This window comes from Homo sapiens, chromosome 11 (assembly GCF_000001405.40).
Source record: "Homo sapiens chromosome 11, GRCh38.p14 Primary Assembly".
NCBI lineage: Eukaryota > Metazoa > Chordata > Mammalia > Primates > Hominidae > Homo > Homo sapiens.
In genome coordinates, this window is record NC_000011.10 from 122,685,039 (window position 1) to 122,704,996 (window position 19,958).

Consider the following 19,958-nt stretch of genomic DNA (forward strand, 5'->3'; position numbering starts at 1 on the left):
CTGAAACTGCATTATCTTGCCCCCCGGCAAGAGGAAAATACTATCTTTTTTCCACCAATTCTGGGTCTTTTCCTTGGATTATCACTGAATTTGCAGCTGATGCTTCTGCAGCCTCAGAATAGGAAAATATGGTGAAAGTCCATTGTACCTTCAGTGGAAGGACAACTTGCCTTGTTTTTCTTCTTTATTTGCTTATTCTCTGTCCCATATCCCCACCCCCGGGATGTAGCTTTTTGAGAGCAAAGACCTTGACTGTCTTATTCATTACTCTGATTCTCCTGCCTGGAAGAGTGTTTGCCACAGAGCAGGTGCTCAAGAAATACTATAGAGCAAATTAATTTATCTTTGTCATTCTTACCTAGGGTAGGGTTTCCCTCTGAAAGTGTCTGCCTGTGAGTACTCCAATTTATAGGCAGAGATGGAGTTTTCAAAATATAAAGTGTTTTAATCTGACACATCCTCGTGATAATGAAAATACTTCTTTTTTACTATTATTATTTTTTTGTGTCGCTCTGTCACCCAAGCTGAAGTGCAGTGGTGTGATCTTGGCTCACTGCAACCTCCACTTCCTGGGTTCCAGCGATTCTCCTGCCTCAGCCTCCCGAGTAGCTGGAATTACAGGCGTCTGCCACAATGCCCAGCTAATTTTTTTTATATTTTTAGTAGAGACGGGGTTTCAGCATGTTGGCCAAGCTGGTCTCGAACTCCTGACCTCAGGTGATCCACCCGCCTTGGCCTCCCAAAGTGCTGGGATTACAGGCGTGAGCTACCACACCCGGCCAGCACCTCTCATTTTTATAGCTCGTTACATTTTCAAAGCATTTTCACCTCATGGGGTCTTCCTCGAGCTTCATAGCAGCCCTATTTGGATACAGGCTGAACAGATGATGTTACCACCATTTATTGAGGAGAAAACTGAGGCTCTGAGAGGTTAAGTTGCACAAGCCCACACGCCAGGGAGGAGCAAAGCAGGTACTGAACCCAGGCCTGCCTGGCGCTCTTTCTGCAAGACCACCAGTCCCTTCTCCCTCTGCTCATGGAAAATAAAGACTAAAAAGAGCAGGTTTCTTCCCGGGTCACTTCCTCCCTGAGGAAGTCCAATCTCAACTATGGCCTTAAGTGGTTTGGAGTCCTTTGGGGAACATGATTATTTGGGACTGCTTAAGTGCTTAGCAAAAAGTCTGCCAGACAAAGTCTAAGTGGAGCTGAGAGAAGCAGGTTTTTTCTCCTATGAGCTGAGTCATGTCGAGGAAGAGACAAATGGCTACCAAGGAGAAATATGTAAGCAGACTGGTCAACACGCATGGTCGAGCGTGAGACAGCAGACTCAGGTACAATTATTCTGAGAGGAAGCACAAGGCTTGACTCCAGGGTGTGGATCCGGAAGCAAGCGTTCCTCCTAACCGGGATCCAAGGATGTGTTGCCAGTGGAGTGGTAGATTTATAGGAAAGGTGGAGATGGTACTGAGATGGTCTTAAATGTTAAGAAAACAACCATAAAACTTGTTTGGGGGCTGGATCTGTGCAGGATGAGTAAGGCTTTTGGCCGTGGTGTGCAGGGAAAGAACATGGCCCTGGAGGAAAAGCCATCCAGGCTTGTTAATAGAGCTCCGTGTGCAGGCGTTTGGGAGGAGAATGAAGGCCCTGTCTCTTCTTCCTACCCTACCACAAATGCCTTAGTGAAATAACTAGTCCAGGTGTTGACTTTTTCCCTTTCCTAATCCTATGTGCCAGCTTATCCTATGTGCTATTCCTATATGCCAGCTTATCTCAGACAAATCAACCCATCTCTCTAAGCCCTGTTTTTCGGTAAGTAAAATGAAGGTATTTTTTTTTTTCTTTTTTTTGAGACAGGGTCTAGCTCTGTCGCCCAGGCTGGAGTACAGTGGTGCGGTCTGGGCTCACTGCAACTTCCACCTCCCAGGTTCAAGTGATTCTCCTGCCTCAGCCTCCTGAGTAGCTGGAATTACAGATGTGCACCACCACGCCCAGCTAATTTTTGTATTTTTAGTAGAGATGGGGGTTTCACCATGTTGGCCAGGCTGGTCTCGAACTCCCGACCTCAAGCTATCCACTCGCCTTGGCCTCCCAAAGTGCTGGGATTACGGGTGTGAGTCACCGCACCTGGGCAAATGAGGCTATTTCTATTCTGTACCTCCAGTAAGATACAGCAAATACAAAAGTAGAAAGTCTGTCATAAGCCACAAAAATGGTAGATGATTTTGATGGCATCATGGTAGACACTTTAGCAGTGTGTAATACATATAAGGTCACGGTATTTCCAAGTATGAAATAGCTGGCAACTTGCCTGATTCTTATTTAGCAGTGATGACTGATGAAATGACTTGCCCTTTGATTCAAACCTTCCACTTAACATGGTCCCTCACAGCACTGGGCGTCCAGTGGGGAGGTTTTATATTACTCTTCTGCGAAGGGGAAAACTTTAGAACTTGAGGAAGATGGAGAGCAGGTGTGTTGTATTGGGGGGGCAGATGAGTGAGGAGGGACCACGAGAAAGATATTAAGCACCTACTGCATGTCCTCTGCTATGCTTCTACTATGTGTTTTGTATGCTGTATTTATTTCTTTCAGCAGCCTCTTTAAACCCATTTTACAGATGAGAAAGTTAAGAATTTGCACAGCATCACTCAGTAAAATGGGATCCGCATTTTAATCCATGTGTGCTTGAAGGCCAGCCTCTGCATTTCCCCCACCACACCTCTGAGTCTTGCTATTTCTCCATGATCATCTTCTTCCTGGTGCTCCCGTGTCTCCAAGATGAGAGAATTTGCCAAGTCATGAAGCCAGTTCTGTCCTGTCTTACCTCCCTATCCTGCCATCAGTGCCTCATTTAAATACCTAATAATAATGATATCATAATAGTTGAGCAGAGATAGATTATACATAAATTTTGTTTTCTTTTATTAAGTGGTTTTATTTTTGCTTCTCTGCCTGACTTCTTTAGAACATAGGGGTCTGGGCCACTCGGCATGGCAGGTGCCCCAGCCTTGGAGAAAGAACTGTTCAACTGCCTTGGTTTCCCACCTATTTACTGCACACCTCAGGAACAAAGGGAGAAGCTGAGGGGACTTCTTGGTTTTAATTGGGGTGATGACAATTGTGTAGAATCTGAACCTGTTAAAGCACTTCCTCAGGATCCAGACACCGAGAGGGATGGGAGTTTGCCTTTCTTTTTCTTTCTTTCTTTCTTCCTTCCCTTCCTTCCCTTCCTCCCCTTCCTTCCTCCCTCCCTCTTGCTCTGTTGCCCAGGCTGGAGCGTAGTGGCACGATCTCGGCTCACTGTAACCTCCGCCTCCCTGATTCAAGCAATTCTCCTGTCTCAGTCTCCCGGGTAGCTGGGACTACAGGCACATGCCACCACACCGCTAATTTTGGGGTTTTGTGGTTTGTTTGTTTTTTTTTTTGAGACGGAGTCTGGCTCTGTTGCCCAGGCTGGAGAGCAGTAGTGCAATCTCGGCTCACTGCAAGCTCCGCCTCCCAGGTTCACGCCATTCTCCTGCCTCAGCCTCCCGAGTAAGCTGGGACTACAGACGCCCGCCACCACGTCTGGCTAATTTTTTTCTTTCTTTTATTTTATTTTATTTTATTTTATTTTATTTTTTTGAGACGGAGGCTTGCTCTGTTGCCCAGGCTGGAGTGCAGTAGTGCAATCTCGGCTCACTGCAAGCTCCGCCTCCCGGGTTCACCCCATTCTCCTGCCTCAGCCTCCCTAGTAGCTGGGACTACAGGCGCCCGCCACCACGCCCGGCTAATTTTTTGTATTTTTAGTAGAGACGGGGTTTCACCGTGTTAGCCAGGATGGTGTCGATCTCCTGACCTCGTGATCCGCCTGCCTGGGCCTCCAAAAGTGCTGGGATTACAGGCGTGAGCCACCGCGCCCGGCTAATTTTTGTATTTTTACTAGAGACGGCGGGGAGGCGGGGGGGGGGGGGGTTCCACCATATTGGCCAGGCTGGTCTCGAACTCCTGACCTCAAGTGATCCACTTGCCTCGCCCTCTCAAAGTGCTGGGATTACAGGTGTGAGCCACCGCGCCTGGCCAGCTGTTGGTTATTTCTGATGGGCTTTTAAATAGCCCCACAATGTAAAAAGTAACGTATGTTTATTGTGTAAATTTTGAAAAGTATGGAAAAACCCAAAGAATAAATACCATATTATTTATAATTATGTTTAAATTAAACAAAATTGAGGTTATTACTTCGCAATTTGCTGTCAATTGTTTGTCTAAACATTTTTCTGTCAATTATTTGTCTAAAATGATTTCTCCTGCATTTCTAGTACATGAATATACTATTTAATCAGTTCCCTATTTTTGGAAAACTAGGTCATTTTATTTAGATGAATATTCTTACACACGAATTTTTGTGTCCTGAATAGCAGAGTGGGATTAAAAGCCTTTAGTTTTCGCTTTTGTAAAATGGAGGTTGTTTCCAGAAAACTCTCAAACTGGGTTTTTCCTCTGCCTTTACACCGCAACAGCAATCATCAACACCGAGGAAGCCTTCTATGAACACATGTGGAGGTTTTCCCCACATGGCAAGCAGCGGACACCAGCTAGTATCCTCCAATTCAGTTCCAACACTGTCTACCTGGAGATAGCCTCAGATCCCACAGTGGGAGGGCTCTGGCCCCAGACTGCCCTCATCCCCACCAGTTGCAAGTCCAGGCTTCTGGAACTTCTCACTAACTGCCTTCAAGTTGGGAGTTACCACAACCCCCTCTTTTGGTTCAATTAATTTGCTGGAGCGGCTCACAGAACTCAGGGAAACACTTATGTTTACTGATTTACTATAAAGGATATTGCAAAGGATATAGTTGAGGAGATGTGTAAGGTGAGGTATGGGGGAAGGGGCATGGAGCTTCCACGGCCTCCCCTGGCGCCACCCTCCAGGACCCTCCGTGTGGGCAGCCCACCAAACCCCGCCTTCTTGGGTTTTCTTGGAAGTCTCATTACCTCAGCATTTCTTCCCCCAGGGTGGGACATTCTCTGGGGAGGGTCTTCTGACCCACAGTCAGAGGCCTGCTTTGGAAGATTAAAGTCCTGCCTTAGGGCAGGTGAATGGTCAGAGAGATTCTGTTTCCTGAGGCCTGCTCCCGAGGCAGGAAAACATATATATATATATATATATATATATATATATATATATATATCCAATTATATATATATATATCCAATTTTATATATATATATATCCAATTATATATATATATATCTCCAATTATACATATATATATCTCCAATTATACATATATATATATATATAATGAGGATTCTATATTATAATACATGTAGAGTTCTTAGCACAGTGCCTTACATATAGTTAGCTCTCCATAAATGGTAGCTACTATTCTGAGCTTACTTTACATCTGACTTTTGGTTTTAGTAAGTGAAATGCTAAGTAGGATTACATTCTCATGGTTTTGAAGGGTGTGTGGTTGCACTGTGTTACCCTATCTGAAGTTCAGGTAGCCTCTGTGACATCTCAGCGGCCTCAAAGATGGGGTCCTGGCAGTCAAACTGCTGCTGTCCCAAGCATCCCTTGCCAATATCTTCTGGCCTCCGAATCCACTGGCTGTCATGAGCCCAGCAGCTGCTAAAGTTTAGATACATACGCATGGAGAGCCAGTGAGAGACACATAGCGCTATGCTCCCTCCAAAACTCACGCTTGTTGCCTTATTTCACATCGGTTGTGAATGCCTCGGTTGTGGGAATGATGGCTGAGGGTGGTGTGCGCTGCTAGTGGAAGAGGATTCTCCTTAGGGTACAGCACCTGGGAGAGTTGAGTCAGACTTGTCATCTTGCGCTCTGTAATATGCTACTAATATCATAGTATTTCCGAGCTGAGGAACTTGATCACTGGGCCCGATCTTCTCACTTCTGCGAAAGGCTGAAGCCCAGAGTGCTTAAATGGTTTACCGAAGGCCACGAAGCAAAGTAGCGGTAAAGCCAGAACCAAACCCCGGGTCTTCCGGACTCCTCCCCTAGGCAGGATTCTCCCCCTGGGTTATGCTCATTTCCAGCAAATGAAAGGTCATGGTTAACTTGTTGTCCAGATATGTTTGCCTCTCTCCAAAACGGAGTTTTTCTCCTGAGAGGTTCATCACTGGAAAAACGAAACCACATGGCTGTGTGTTCTGCTCTGTGCCTTTGCCGGGCCTTTCCTGCAGAGAATTCTGGTAACATCATCAAGAAGCAGGAAGGAGCTTTTACAAGGTGGCTCTGACTCCTTTTCTTTCCTCTCAAATTTTATACAACTATTTGAAGCTGGCTTTTGTAGGTTAAAGTCACTCTTTTCTGGACAAATCTTCTGCAGCCAAGCAGCATTTCTCTGACTTCCTTGGGTGCAAACTAGAGGAAACTGGCCTTTGTTAGCTCAGATGCTTTCAACACAGGCTGTGAGTGAAGAAAGAGCAGCTGTAACCCCTTTCCTCTCGTGCAGGGAATGCAGTTATAAAAACCAGGCCAATGTTTTCTCCCACCGGGGTGCTGCTGGACTCTCACTTAGCTCCTCAGTCAATTTAAGGCTTAAAATCTTTATTGAAAAGTGTTTTTATTCAGCTTTCAAAGATACCAGTTCATCTGTTATTGCTGTAGCCACCCACCACTTGCGGGAAAATCCCAAAATGTGGGTATTTTACAAATGAAAAAGAGACATTTCTGGAATCAATGAAAAGGCTGCCTTGCCTGGCCTTCTGCTGGGTAGATGTGGAGCTGGTGATTTTGCTGAGTCCCCTGGCTTGAGCAAAAGGCTGTGATGGCCATTTGTGACGGGGTTCTGTGTTTTGGGCAGGGTTTGCTTGGTGGCTTAGCTGGGCTCTCAAAGGACACAATCAGTGCTACCCCCAGGCAGGCCCAGATCCATCTGCCCAGGATCTGGCTTCTGATCATGAAGGAGGGCGGTAGGTCAGACAGGATAAGCTCAGAGTCCAGGCCAGAGTGGTAGTTAAGAACACTGGAGCTTTTCAGGCCTCGTTCCATGTGCTGGCTCTGCCACTTACAGAACCTTGGACAAGTGATTTAATCTCCCTAAGCCTAAGCCCAGATTTCCTCACTTGGAAATTGGCATCAATAGAAGTACCTACCTCACAAGATGGGGATAATTAAATTAGATAATGTTGACAGAGTGCCTGGCAGATAGTAGGTACTCCATATAAGTCAGCAATAAATTTAATATGTTTATGGTTTTACTGACCTCAACTCCAGGGACTTTTGGGATTGCTAAGAGAAGAAAGATGAATATTTTCTTACTAAACATTAGTAAAATATTTTCTTGCTAAACATTCATTCTTTTCTTGAGACAGTATTTAATATCTATTGATTACTCACTGTAAGATGCCAACCACTCTCTAAACCTTGGGGACACAAAAACAAGAAGCTCATAATTTACCGAATTACAGCAGCATAGAAACAAAGAATTGCAGAGATGTGGGATACACCCTACAGTAAAGGTGATATTCAGGGGGTATGGTGGGAACAGAGAGGAAGGAATGCACCCTTGGCTTGGAGAATGGGCCCCGTGAGCCTTCTCAGCAGGAATGTGGAAGACAGTTTGCATACTGCCGAGGGCACGCTGGTCAAAGACACAGTATGTGCTAAAACTCAGAGAAGGGAAAGACAGGGTTTGTCTCATACGATCGGAGAATATGGGGAAATAGCCAGAGATGCTTTCATTCCACACATATCTATGGAGTGTCAACTAATGCCAGGTACTGGCAACAGAAATAGAAGACACATTCCTCCCTTCAAGGAGTTTAGAGACTGGTAGGGAGAGAAAGGACAAGTGCATTTGTGATTATAGTGTGATAAGTGTCCGAGTGAAGAGACCACCAAACAGGTGGTGTGTGAGCAACAAGGCTGTTTATTTCACCTGGGTGCAGGTGGGGAGAGTCCGAAAAGAGAGTCAGCAAAGGGTGGTGGGATTATCATTAGTTCTTAGAGGTTTTGGGATGGGCAGTGGAGTTAGCAGCAATGTTTTGTGGGCAGGGGGTGGATCTCACAAAGTACATTCTCAAGGGTGGGGAGAATGGCAAAGAACCTTCTCAAGGGTGGGGAGAATGACAAAGAACCTTCTCAAGGGTGGGGAGAACTACAAAGAACCTTCTTAAGGGTGGGGGCGATTACAAAGTACATTGATCAGTTAGGGTGGGGCAGAAACAAATCACAATGGTGGAATGTCATCAGTTAAGGCTATTTTCACTTCTTTTGTGGATCTTCAGTTGCTTCAGGCCATCTGGATGTATACGTGCAGGTCACAGGAGATATGATGGCTTAGCTTGGGCTCAGAGGCCTGACAATAAGTGTGTGGTGGGCACACTGAGAAGAACGTCTATTCTCCACCCAGAGTGGTAAGGAGAAACCATCAAGGGAAGATCACACACCTTAAGGCTTGAAGATTTTAGAGTTGACCAGTTGGAGGAAAAGTAAAACATTCCAAGAAAGGTACAGAATGGACAAAGTCATGGAGGGATGAGTGGGCATGGGTCATGGGAGGAAAAATAAGCCTGTAAATGAGGCTGAAATAAAGAATGATGGCCGAGCGTGGTGGCTCATGCCTGTAATCCTGGCACTTTGGGAGGCTGAGGTGGGCGGATCACTTGAGGTCAGGAGTTGGAGACCAGCCTGCCCAACATGGTGAAACCCCGTCTCTACTAAAAATACAAAAATTAGCCAGGCGTGGTGGCACATGCCTGTAATCCTAACTACTGAGGAGGCTGAGGCAAGAGAATCTTGAACCCGGGAGGCGGAGGTTGCAGTGAGCCGAGATGGTGCCACTGCACTCCAGCCTGGGTGACAGAGTGAGACTCTGTCTCGAAAAAAATAAAAATAAGAAAGAAAGAATGATGAGGCTAAGCGATGCATCCATTCATTCAGTCATTCACCCAGTTGTGTTGTGTGCTTACAATTTTCCTATGTGACATTTGAAGCTCTGGGGATGCAACGATGGAGGCCCAGTCATAAGGTCGACTAGGGCACGCAGGTGGTATCAGGTGGCCCATGCAGCCTGATTTGGGTGATATGTAGACGTGACATTAAGAAATGATGAATCACATAATGAACAATTTTTCTTTTTACAATTCTAATTACAAAGGGTGAGGGGCTCAGTTCAGAGCCTATTATCTTTAAAACCTCTCTAGTACTTGTTAATCTCTTTTTTATGAGAGCTATAGGCCTTAGGTTCAGAACACTGGCAGGGAGGGGATGTAACAAGAATTTAGTAAGATTCCTTTGTTTCCTTTTTTGTTTTGTTTTTTTAATGGCAAGTGGTACTAATTTTCTGTTTATGGTAAAAATAACATTTTCTTCAAAAGTTATTTGAATAAAAGTAGATAGGTTATTTTAATGAAACTTACTCAGGCCAGCATGGTGGCACATGCCTGTAGTCCCAGCTACTCAGGAAGCTGGGGTGGGAGGATCGCTTGAGCCTGAGAGTTGTAGGCTGCAGTGTGCCATGATTGTATGTGTGAATAGGCACTGCAGTCCAGTCTGGGCAATATAGCAAGACTCTGTCTCTAAAAAAACTTGGAAGGAAGGAAGGAAGGAAGTTACTTAAATATAGTACAGTATAGATATTGATATAGAAAAATTAATGGGTTGATGGTAGAAATGGCTGAAGTCTTGGAAATGCTGTTATTGATAATCGGAAGCCAGTGGAGGGAGTTTTAAGTTTTAAGGGTTTTAAGCACAGGGCAAGGAAGAGCTCCTAAAACAAGCCTTGTTTGGACTGTGGGTTCCTTGAGTGTCAAGATTTAGTGTGCCACAGTGGATTTGAAAACCCTAGCTGTTAGCATAGAACACTTAGCCTGTGCTTAATTTGAGGTATGCCAGGGTATGCCATCCACCAGTGATGTGCTTTATTTTTATTTTATTTTATTTATTTTTCTTTTCTTTTCTTTCTTTTTTTTTTTTTTTTTTTTTTTTTTTGAGGTGGAGTCTCCCTCTTTCCCCCAGGCTGGAGTGCAGTGGCACGATTTCAGCTCACCACCACCTCTGCCTCCCGGGTTCAAGCGATTCTCCTGTCTCAGCCTCCCTAGTAGCTGGGATTACAGGCACCTGCTACCATGCCCGGCTAATTTTTGCATTTTTCTTAGACACGGGGTTTCACCATGTTGGCCAGGCTGGTCTTGAACTCCCGACCTCAAGTGATCCACCCGTCTTGGCCTCCCAAAGTGCTGGGATTGCAGGCGTGAGCCACCGCGCCCGGCCCACTGGTCTGCTTTAAAATTCAAAACCTTGCATTTATTTCTTCTATCCACTCCTGTCATCACTCAGTTGCATGGATGCCTGGAAGGAGCTTGAAGCTCTGGCATGATCTGATCAGAGCCTGCGGATGGGTGGGAGTTTCCAGTACTCGTGCCAGCAGGCTGGTGAGCATATGCATCCGGCTCCTCCTCTGCAAACATGCTGAGTCCTCCCAACCTTGATAACGCTTCAACCCCTTCTGGGAATATCTCCTTGAGTGGTGAATGCTAATAAGTGTCTGATGCTGTCGCCATTTCAGCAGCTCTTAGGAGACTCTGTGGTTTTCTTTCCTTTTTTTTCTTTTCTTTTTTACTTTTTCCCCGTTATCCATCAGCATTTATGCACATCGTGTTTTATGCATTGTGATCCTCTTAGTGCCTTGGATATGTTGTTTGGACCTTCAGTTACACAGTGCCTCACTCCCTGGAGGTCTAATGATGCTCAGGAAAGACAGAGAAAAGAACTGCCTTGCAGCATTTTTGCATCAACACATTGATTCCTACATCCCAGCCATGCCCAAAGTGGTTAAAAAATGAAGTTTTCATTTAGAGCTACGGGTGGTAGTTTAGAACTGTTGGGAAGTTACTAAATAGTCACATTGAGCTTATGTTTCCACTCAGCCTGATAACCAAATAGTTTTTTTATTTTTTATTTTATTTTTATTTTTTGAGACAGAGTCTCATTCTGTTGCCCAGGCTGGAGTGTAGTGGTGCGATCGCTGCTCACTGTAGCTTCCGTCTCCCAGGTTTAAGCGAATCTCCTGCCTCAGCCACCTGAGTAGCTGGGATTATAGGTGCCCACCACCATGCCTGGATAATTTTTGTATTTTTAGTAGAGACGGGGTTTCACCATGTTGGCCAGACTGGTCTTGAACTCCTGACCTCAGGTGGTTTGCCCACCTTGGCCTCCCAAAGCGCTGGGATTACAGGCATGAGCTACTGCGCCCGGCCCCAAATAGTTTTTAATTTCTCGGTAATAAGCCGGCAGGATTTTAACCTTAATGAGGATTTCTTCAGGGCCCTACGTTTCTTTTTCTTTTTTCTTTTTGTTTTTGAGATGAAGACTCGTTCTGTCACCCAGGCTGGAGTGCAACCTCTGCCTCCCGGGTTCAAGCGATTCTCCTGCCTCAGCCTCCTGAGTAGCTTGGATTATAGGCACCTGCCACCATGCCCAGCTAATTTTTGCATTTTTAGTCGAGACAGGGTTTCACCATGTTGGCTAGGCTGGTCTCAAATGCCTGACCTCTGGTGATCCACCTGGTACTCCTAAAGTGCCAGGATTACAGGAGTGAGCCACTGCACCCAACCAATACTACATTTCTAAATCTGTATTTTCAAAGACTTTAGCTAAAGACTAGAATGTGTAAGTTGCACGTGTGTCCGAGCTATGCCCACCCTTTCCTGGGCCGTGTTTAGTACCGCAGCCACATCAGAGCAGAATTGCAGGTGGCTAATGGCCCCTGCCTTCCCATCTGTACAGAATACACGGAGAGCACCCCAGTTCTAGGGCAGGCCGGAGTCTGTTGACAGACATTTCTCCTTATCTTGTTTTCACATCAGCTGCAGCACGATTTCTGTTCAGAGCAAGCGTGGGTGGGGGTTCCTCCCGCCCTGCCCTGTGCTAGCTGTTAAAATAGGAGGGTGGTTTACCGTATTGTTTTTCAAGTAAAGATCAGGCCACCAGGAGTTGGTGACTCCAGTGGGTCACTGGCGGTGTTTGTTCATAGCAAAGAAAAGTCAGCCCAGCTCTTTTGGGGATACATCAGTAATCTACATAGCAGCCATTTGATTTTGAAGATTAGGGTTTGGGGGGGAAGTTTGAAGTTTTGTTTGACTGCTAAGAGGAATTAGATAGCTCTCAAAACATTTTTCAAACTCAAGTAATTGGACTCTCCAAACAACGGGAATGGTGGCATAACAGACCACTAACATTTCAATTGCGCTTTCCAATCGACAAAGTACTTTTACATATGTGATTATTCCCTTTATTACAGAAGAGAAAACTGAAGCTCAGAAATCCCAGCTATTCAGGGGGCTGAGGCATGATAATCGCTTGAACTGGGAGGTGGAGGTTGCAGTGAGCCGAGATCGCAACATTGCACTCCAGCATGGGCTACAAGAGCAAAACTACGTCTCAAATAAATAAATAAATAAAATCCCAGTATATGGTCTGCACACACTACACATTTATACCCACAACTTCAGATTAAAGTGAACATTAATGACCGTACTGAAGCAAATAGAGTTCCAGAGATTTCTAGTGACTGAGGGCGCTAGAATTCGAACCCAGATCCACTGCCTCCCACTTCTGGATCCTTTTTCCTCCACCATCCTCCCTCACACTTGTTTCCATCTTCTTGTCCAATGTGAATTGTTTATTTGCTGCTTCAGCATACAGCACCTCAGTACCTTGATAGTCAGGACTTAGGTTGGGCAGGATAGCCACATTAAATAAGCAAGGATTGAGTCATTGCGTTGCACCATAGATACATGGGTTTACAGCAACTTAGAATAAAGAAAAGAGGAAGCAGCTGCTGTGCTGGGAGCTTCATAGACCTGACACTGTCCAAGGGGGAGTATATTTATATACCTCCTCATTTAATTCTCAAACAGCCTCCGGAAACACATTCTCTCATTTTCATCTGACAGTTAAGAGCACTGGGGCGTGGCGATGTAAGGAAACTTGCCGAAAGTTGCATAACGAGTCAGTGATGGAGCCTGCATTTGAACCTAGATTTGTCTCATTCCAAAGCCAGCCCTGTCCAACCCGCACATTCTCTCAGTGAGGAAACCAGGGTGGTGGAATGACTGCTCTGGCAAATTAAGGGCAGAGCTGGGCTCAGCCACGTAGTCTCAGTGTTCTTGCCAGTATACCTGGCAGATCTCTTCTCTTAGAGTTGGAATTCTCCTCTGTCGTATTAGATGAAAAGTTGTCAACATTGCAGATGACCTCCTCTCCCCCTACCCATACCCCCATAGTCACGCCAAATTTTTGTTGCAATTCACACCAGGCATGGATTTCTATCTTCTGTTGCTCCCCACCTTCCAAAATCTTCCATGCCCCTCATCTAGGCTCTGGCAAAAGTTGTTCCCAAGTAACACTATGTGACCATTTGAATTTTACATTTTCTCCCCACCTTGCAACAAGGCAGGAGAGAATGGCTTTGGAACTATAGAAAATTAGGATGGTATAAGGCTAAAGAAGAGCAAGAAGATGGATGCATTATGTAATGAAAACTGCACTCACAGTATGGGAGAGCCTGGGGCATATGTTTGGTAAGGCAGGTGCCAGCTGTGAGGATACTAGAAACCAGGTGTGGGAGCATCCTGGGTGCCGTGTGTGGAGGCTCACTGAGTTGCTACAATGGTCAGAACCTAAAGCTAGTTCCCTAACTCCCAATGATCCCACAGCCCCCACATTCCATCCACCCGACACCCAGCACTCCCCATGCCTCTGGAAATCTATTTGCTTCAGTACGGTCATTAATGTTCACTTTAATCTGAAGTTGTGGTTATAAATGTGTAGTGTGTGCAGACCATATACTGGGATTTTATTTATTTATTTATTTGAGATGGAGTTTTGCTCTTGTAGCCCATGCTGGAGTGCAATGTTGCGATCTCGGCTCGCTGCAACATCCACCTCCCAGTTCAAGCGATTATCGTGCCTCAGCCCCCTGAATAGCTGGGGCTGCAGGTGCCCAGCACCACACCCAGCTAATTTTCGTATTTTTAGTAGAGACGGGGTTTCTCCATGTTGGCCAGGCTGGTCTCGAACTCCTGACCTCAGGTGATCCACCTGCCTTGGCCTCCCGAAGTGCTGGGATTCCAGGCGTGAGCCACTGCGCCCGGATTGGGATTATTTTTAAATCTTTTCGCCCCTGATGGAGGAGGGGCATGGGAGGGAACTGGTATCTATTAGGTGCCTGCTGTACCTAGGTTATTTTATTTAATCCTCATGGCAACACTCAGTGTCTTACAGATGGAAAAATGTGATCTTCATCTTAGAGAACTCACAACTCAGAGGAGTGTGGCACGTGGAGTCACCGAATTGAGTTTGAATCTTAGGAAGCTGCTATGTGTTCTTGGCATTTCCTGCAACCTCTATGCTATCTCTTCTTCTGTGAAATGCCTGTGGATAATATTATCCACCTTCCAAAATTATTGTGAGAAACACATCAGATGACTGATTTTTCTTTTTAAATCTTTCTTTCTTTCTTTCTCTTTCTTTCTTTCTCTTTCTTTCTTTCTTTCTTTCTTTCTTTCTTTCTTTCTTTCTTTTCTTTCTTTCCTTTCTTTTTTTTTTGAAACAAGGTCTCCCTCTGCCACCAGGCTGTAGTGCAGTGGTGCAATCTCTGGTTACTGCAACCTCCGCCTCCAGGGCTCAAGCGATCCTCCCACCTCAGCCTCCTGAGTAGCTAGGACTAGAGGCAAATGCCATGACAGCCAGATAATTTTTGTATTTTTTTGTAGAGACATGGTTTCGCCATGTTGCTCTGGCTGGTCTTGAACTCCTGAGCTCAAGTAATCTACCTGCCTCGGCCTCCCAAAGTGCTGGGATTACAGGCATGAGTCACCATGCCCAGCCCAGATGACTGATATTTCAATGTCTTGTAATCTATTAAGGTTTACGTAAATATTATTGTTTAGCTTTGGAAATCGATCAAGGAATTGACAATGGTACCCAGAGCCCAGCAGTGGAACTAGAGGTCGTGTTGTTGGTGGTGCTTTATTCACTTGGCCGTATTCAGTGGGTAGGTTTGCAGCATGAGGTATCATGTGTGGGTACTAGCGGAGACCCGACATGCTGCACATCTGAGAGGCCAAGAGAAACTGAGGTAACCATCATTCCCCCGGGAGCAGCACCGCTGTTGGAGTGAGGAAGAGGTCAGTCTCTTATGATTAGGTAGAGATCCAATTCCTCAACACTTTGAACTAGCACAAAGTCCCCAGTGCTGAATGAGATGGGCTGACATCATAAGCTTTGTCTCCTCCTTTGTTTAGGCTCTGACCAGAGTTACACATGGTGAGTCCATTTTTAAAATTCATTTCCCAAGTTTGGGATTTTGTTAAGCTTTATGGTTTAGTGGATACAGTTAACAATTCTTTTCCAAACACCATTACATCTTAAGTTTTTTTCACATTTTTCAATGTAAATGTTCATATGTTCATCTTACTCACTCTCATAGTTTACTTCTGATCTTTTTTTTTTTTTTTTTGAGATGGAGTCTCGCTCTGTCACCTAGTCTGAAGTGCAGTGGCATGATATCGGCTCACTGCAACCTCCACCTCCCGGGTTCAAACAATTCTCCTGCCTCAGCCTCCCCAGTAGCTGGGATTACAGGTGCTCACCACCACACCCAGCTAAATTTTGTATTTTTAGTAGAGATGGGGTTTCACCATGTTGGTCAAGCTGGTCTTGAACTCCTGGCCTCAGGTGATCCACCCTCCTCGGCCTCCCAAAGCGCTGGGAATATAGGCATGAGCCAAAGCACCTGGCCTACTTCTGATCTTGATGTTAACAGTAGGGGATGCAATTTGTAGAGGAAGTGTGTTTCTGACAGGTGAGAGAACACTTCATGTAGGGTGAACAGTAAACTGTCCCAGACAGGGATGTGCTATGTAGATGAGCACTGGGAAGCCTGTGTTTTCTCAGAGCTCCTGAAGACACCCTGCTCCACATTAAACCAGAATCATCACGTCTCATCACAAAAAGAACATTAGTGTTATGGGGTATATTTTCTGTTTCATATTAAAAATTCCCAACCCCCAGCATTCTGACCCTGTCAAGCCCACGGGCTGCTACTAATTTGCATGGTTGTGTGATTTGTGTGATTCTGCTCCATCTGCTTTGAATTTCTTGGCTTCTTTGTCCAAGACGTTAATAACTCTAGTCATTTCTTGTGAGGATTTAAGGATGTTATTGATTGATTTTGGATTACAAAGAAACAAAAAGACAGTAGGCAATGTTCTAATTGGGTCTTCTTATTGTGCACTGTAGCCTGAATCCCCCAGGGTAATTAATATGAAGTGCAAAAAGTTGAATGTTCCAGTCTAAAAGGCAGTGGGAGAAATTACATAGCATGGAAATAATAAAATGAACTCTTATTAATGAGAACGAGGCTCTTGCAGTGGCAAGTTCTGCTGGTCACCCGATGGGGATGGGAGCCTTTCAAGCTTTTTTTTGGGTAATACTCACAGTTTCCAACGTCTGTGTACTTTTCAAAATGAGCTTGTTCTTCCTTCTGACACTCATCTCAAAGCTCCATGGTGACGCAGAGGTCTGTTGAAGGTCACAGGGTCCTCGCTTGCATTGGCATACGGTCCTGTAGCATCACTTGTTAGCCCACTGCTGCTTGAAGGAACTAAGAGTATTCAGGGATAGAGAGCTGAAAATAGGATTAATTCTTTCCTTTTGACTCTCCCCTCAAGATGTCCTTGCTTTGGTCTGAAAACCTCTCCTGACAACTTTTGCCCAAAGCAAACCATCTGCCTTTTCTGAACTCTGAGTGAATATATTAGCATCTTCCCTTCTGAGCCCTCGTACTGCCATGTTTGTTTGTTTGTTTGTTTCCAAGAAACTGTGTCTTGCTCTGTCACCCAGGCTGGCATGTAGTGGCATGATCATGCTCACCGCAGCCTCAAACTCCTGGGCTCACGTGATCCTCCTGCCTCGGCCTCCCAAAATGCTGGGATTACAAGTGTGAACCACCACGCCCAGCTGTAATGCCACATTTCAATCTTCCCTCCCAGTGAAGACGACCGTTTCTTTGAGGACAGATGCTGTGTTCTTTACTTCTCTATGTCTCCCTTAGTCCTAACATGTGGCTTCCAAGTAATGCAGCGTATGCTCAACCAAGAGGGATGGTCAGCAAACAGCCCATGAGGAAAAGTAGCATTTGTTCCTAGGAAAACCGAATTATTTGCTTTAGTAATGAATCCAAGTCCAACATAGTTACGTGCAAGGAAACATTTCATCCAGAATACTAATGACATCAGCATGGAGAGAGAAGAGTCTAAAATAAAGATCTTTTTAAAGTACTTAAAGGAGGCCAGAGAATATCATCACATAAAGTATAATATAGGACCCTACCCCTACCAAGCACGGAGATCCCTTGCCTTCATCGTTCAAGGTCAGATTGGAGATTTCAGAGAACCCTAGGTTGCAAGAAACGTGTTTGGAGTTTTGGGGAACAGATAAAACAGTAAGCAGTAGGAAAAAAAATCACCAGGTTTTTTTTTTTTTCAGATGGAATTTTGCTCTTGTCGCCGAGGCTGGAGTGCAATGGTGCGATCTCAGCTTACTGCAACCTTTGCCTCCCGAGTTCAAGCGATTCTCCTGCTTCAGCCTCTCGAGTAGCTGAGATTACAGGCGCATGCTACCACACCCGGCAAATTTTTGTATTTTTAGTAGAGACAGGGTTTCACCATGTCAGCCAGGCTGGTCTCTAACTCCTGACGTCAGGTGATCCACCCGCCTCGGCCTCCCAAAGTGCTGGGGATTACAGGCGTGAGCCACCGTGCCTGGCCAGATTTTTAACTCAGGAAAAATTTATATTCTCCTCACTCATCTTTGAATTATACTAACATCATTAAATGAAGGAGTGGAATTGCTATAAAACTTACTACTAATCCTGATTCTGCATTCACTCATCATTTGTTTTCTCATTTATTCACTCATTCTATAAACAAATTGGACACTCCCTCAAGATCAGTGCTGTATCTGATTCCTTTTGAAATGTCCTCTTTCCTCTTTCCCCCAAGCCTCGCCCACAGCAGGTACTTAGTAGATGTTTACTGAACAGGGTTGGTGGTGGACATGCCACTTCTTTGAAATATTTTTTTCTTTGGCCGGGCACGGTGGCTCATGCCTGTAAATCCCAGCACTTTGGGAGGCTGAGGTGGGCGGATCACGAGGTCGGGAGATTGAGAGCATCCTGGCTAACACAGTGAAACCCCGTCTCTACTAAAAATACAAAAAATTAGCCAGGCGTGGTGGTGGGTGCCTGTAGTCCCAGCTACTCGGGAGGCTGAGGCAGGAGAATCGCTTGAACCCAGGAGGCGGAGGTTGCAGTGGGCCGAGATTGTGCCACTGCACTCCAGCCTGGGCAACAGAGCAGGCCTCCGTCTCAAAAAAAAAAAAGAAAGAAATATATTGTTTCTCCCCTCCACCACCGCTTTTCAAAATAAATAGTGTCAAATGATGCTTATTCCCTTGGAAATATGGGGGAAAATGCCTGCAAGTCATAGATTAGGTTTAGAAACTGGGGCAGTTTATTGATTTCAAAAAGAAGTTTAGATCATGTCTGAAATAGAAACTTTTAGACATTGTGAATAAGTGGGATTGTCTGAGACTCGAGGGTTAAACATAAAGTTCTTGGCATAAATATAATGTATTGTTTTATTGTACTTAAAGCCCCTTGTTTTTTGAAGACAAGCATCTCATGTCCCATGACACAGGAAATGACTGGGATTCTAAAAGCAAGAGAACATGGCGCCCTGATACTGGTTTAGTGGTTAGTGGAAAGATGCATTTCTCTAGGGTAGAAGAGAGACAGGTGATGGCATAAGCCGGGGATATGAACTCTAGGGACCTGGAATTCTTCAAATGTGACCTGCAGGCACTGGAGGGGCTGTCCTTCCCTATCTTATGGACAAGATCTCTTGGCTTGGGGGACACTGTCTCCAAGGTGCTAATAGTCAAGACCTCAACAATGACTCACTTGGACTCGGAAACCAACCTAACTTACTCAGGGTGCCTGCGGCGGTGGGGCTTTTGTAGACCAAAGCCAAGTTTTGCCAAAGGCAGCAAGTGCTTTATAAGCTGAATGGGCAACTTACAGGAACGAAAGCTGAGTGACCTTTTATTTACGGGCTGAGTCCTTGGCTTGAAACCTGCCAGTTGAACAGTCTAACTTGGTGTCATATGGAGCATCTGAATCACAGTCTCTTGAGTCTTCCTCTGAGAAGGTGGCTGGAAGAAGTTCACATTTCTCAGCATTGAAAACACCTTCTGCTCTTTACCTCTGTTGAAGATGGCCTTACAAAAGGCTACGCGGGTCAGCCGTGAGTAGGAGAGTAGTTTCCAGGAGCACCTGAGCATGGGGGAACCGAAGGGCTTTAGTTGCAGAAGATAAGCGAATTCCCCGAGTGTCAGGTTGGTGGCGTGTTAGAGAGGCCACTTTCCTCAGAGAGGTTACAGATGAGTGTCTCTGGAAATCTTTTTTTTTTTGAGACTGAGCCTCACTCTGTCATCTAGGCTGGAGTGCAGTGGCGTGATCTCGGCTCACTGCAACCTTTGCCTCCCAGGTTCAAGCAATTCTCCTGCCTCAGCCTCCCGAGTAGCTGGGACTACAGGCACGCACCACCATGCCTGGCTAGTTTTTGTACTTTTAGTAGAGACAGGGTTTCACCATGTTGGCCAGGCTGTTCTTGAACTCCTGACCTCAAGTGATCTGCCCGCCTCGGCCTCCCAAACTGCTGGGATTACAGGCATGACCACCGTGCCCCGTCAACAATTTTTTTTTTAATAGAAAACTTTATTATGAGGTTTCTTTAAGGGCCGCACTTTCTCGAAGTGGCATTGGGTGAAAATAGGCAACTGTCTTATGTTTTCCTTATTTGGGGGGTTAGAAGAAAAGAAGGTCACTCTGATAAAAAGACCTATGGTTAAAGAAGGATTTGTTTTCAGGCTCTAAGCC

At 45.3% G+C, this 19,958-nt stretch overlaps 1 protein-coding gene across 2 annotated transcripts in view, besides 1 other annotated feature; it reads left to right on the plus strand.

Moving 5' to 3' along the window:
- Positions 1-19,958, plus strand: part of UBASH3B (ubiquitin associated and SH3 domain containing B) — a 158,752-nt gene that overhangs the window by 29,317 nt on the left and 109,477 nt on the right. The gene's annotated exons all lie outside the window — the stretch shown is intronic.
- Positions 2,740-3,240: an enhancer, noted in NCBI's record as "H3K27ac hESC enhancer chr11:122558486-122558986 (GRCh37/hg19 assembly coordinates)". NCBI's record gives its function as "activates a minimal SCP1, AML or CMV promoter by ChIP-STARR-seq in primed H9 embryonic stem cells {active_cell/tissue: H9 hESC(primed)}" and the evidence as "EXISTENCE:reporter gene assay evidence [ECO:0000049][PMID:30033119]".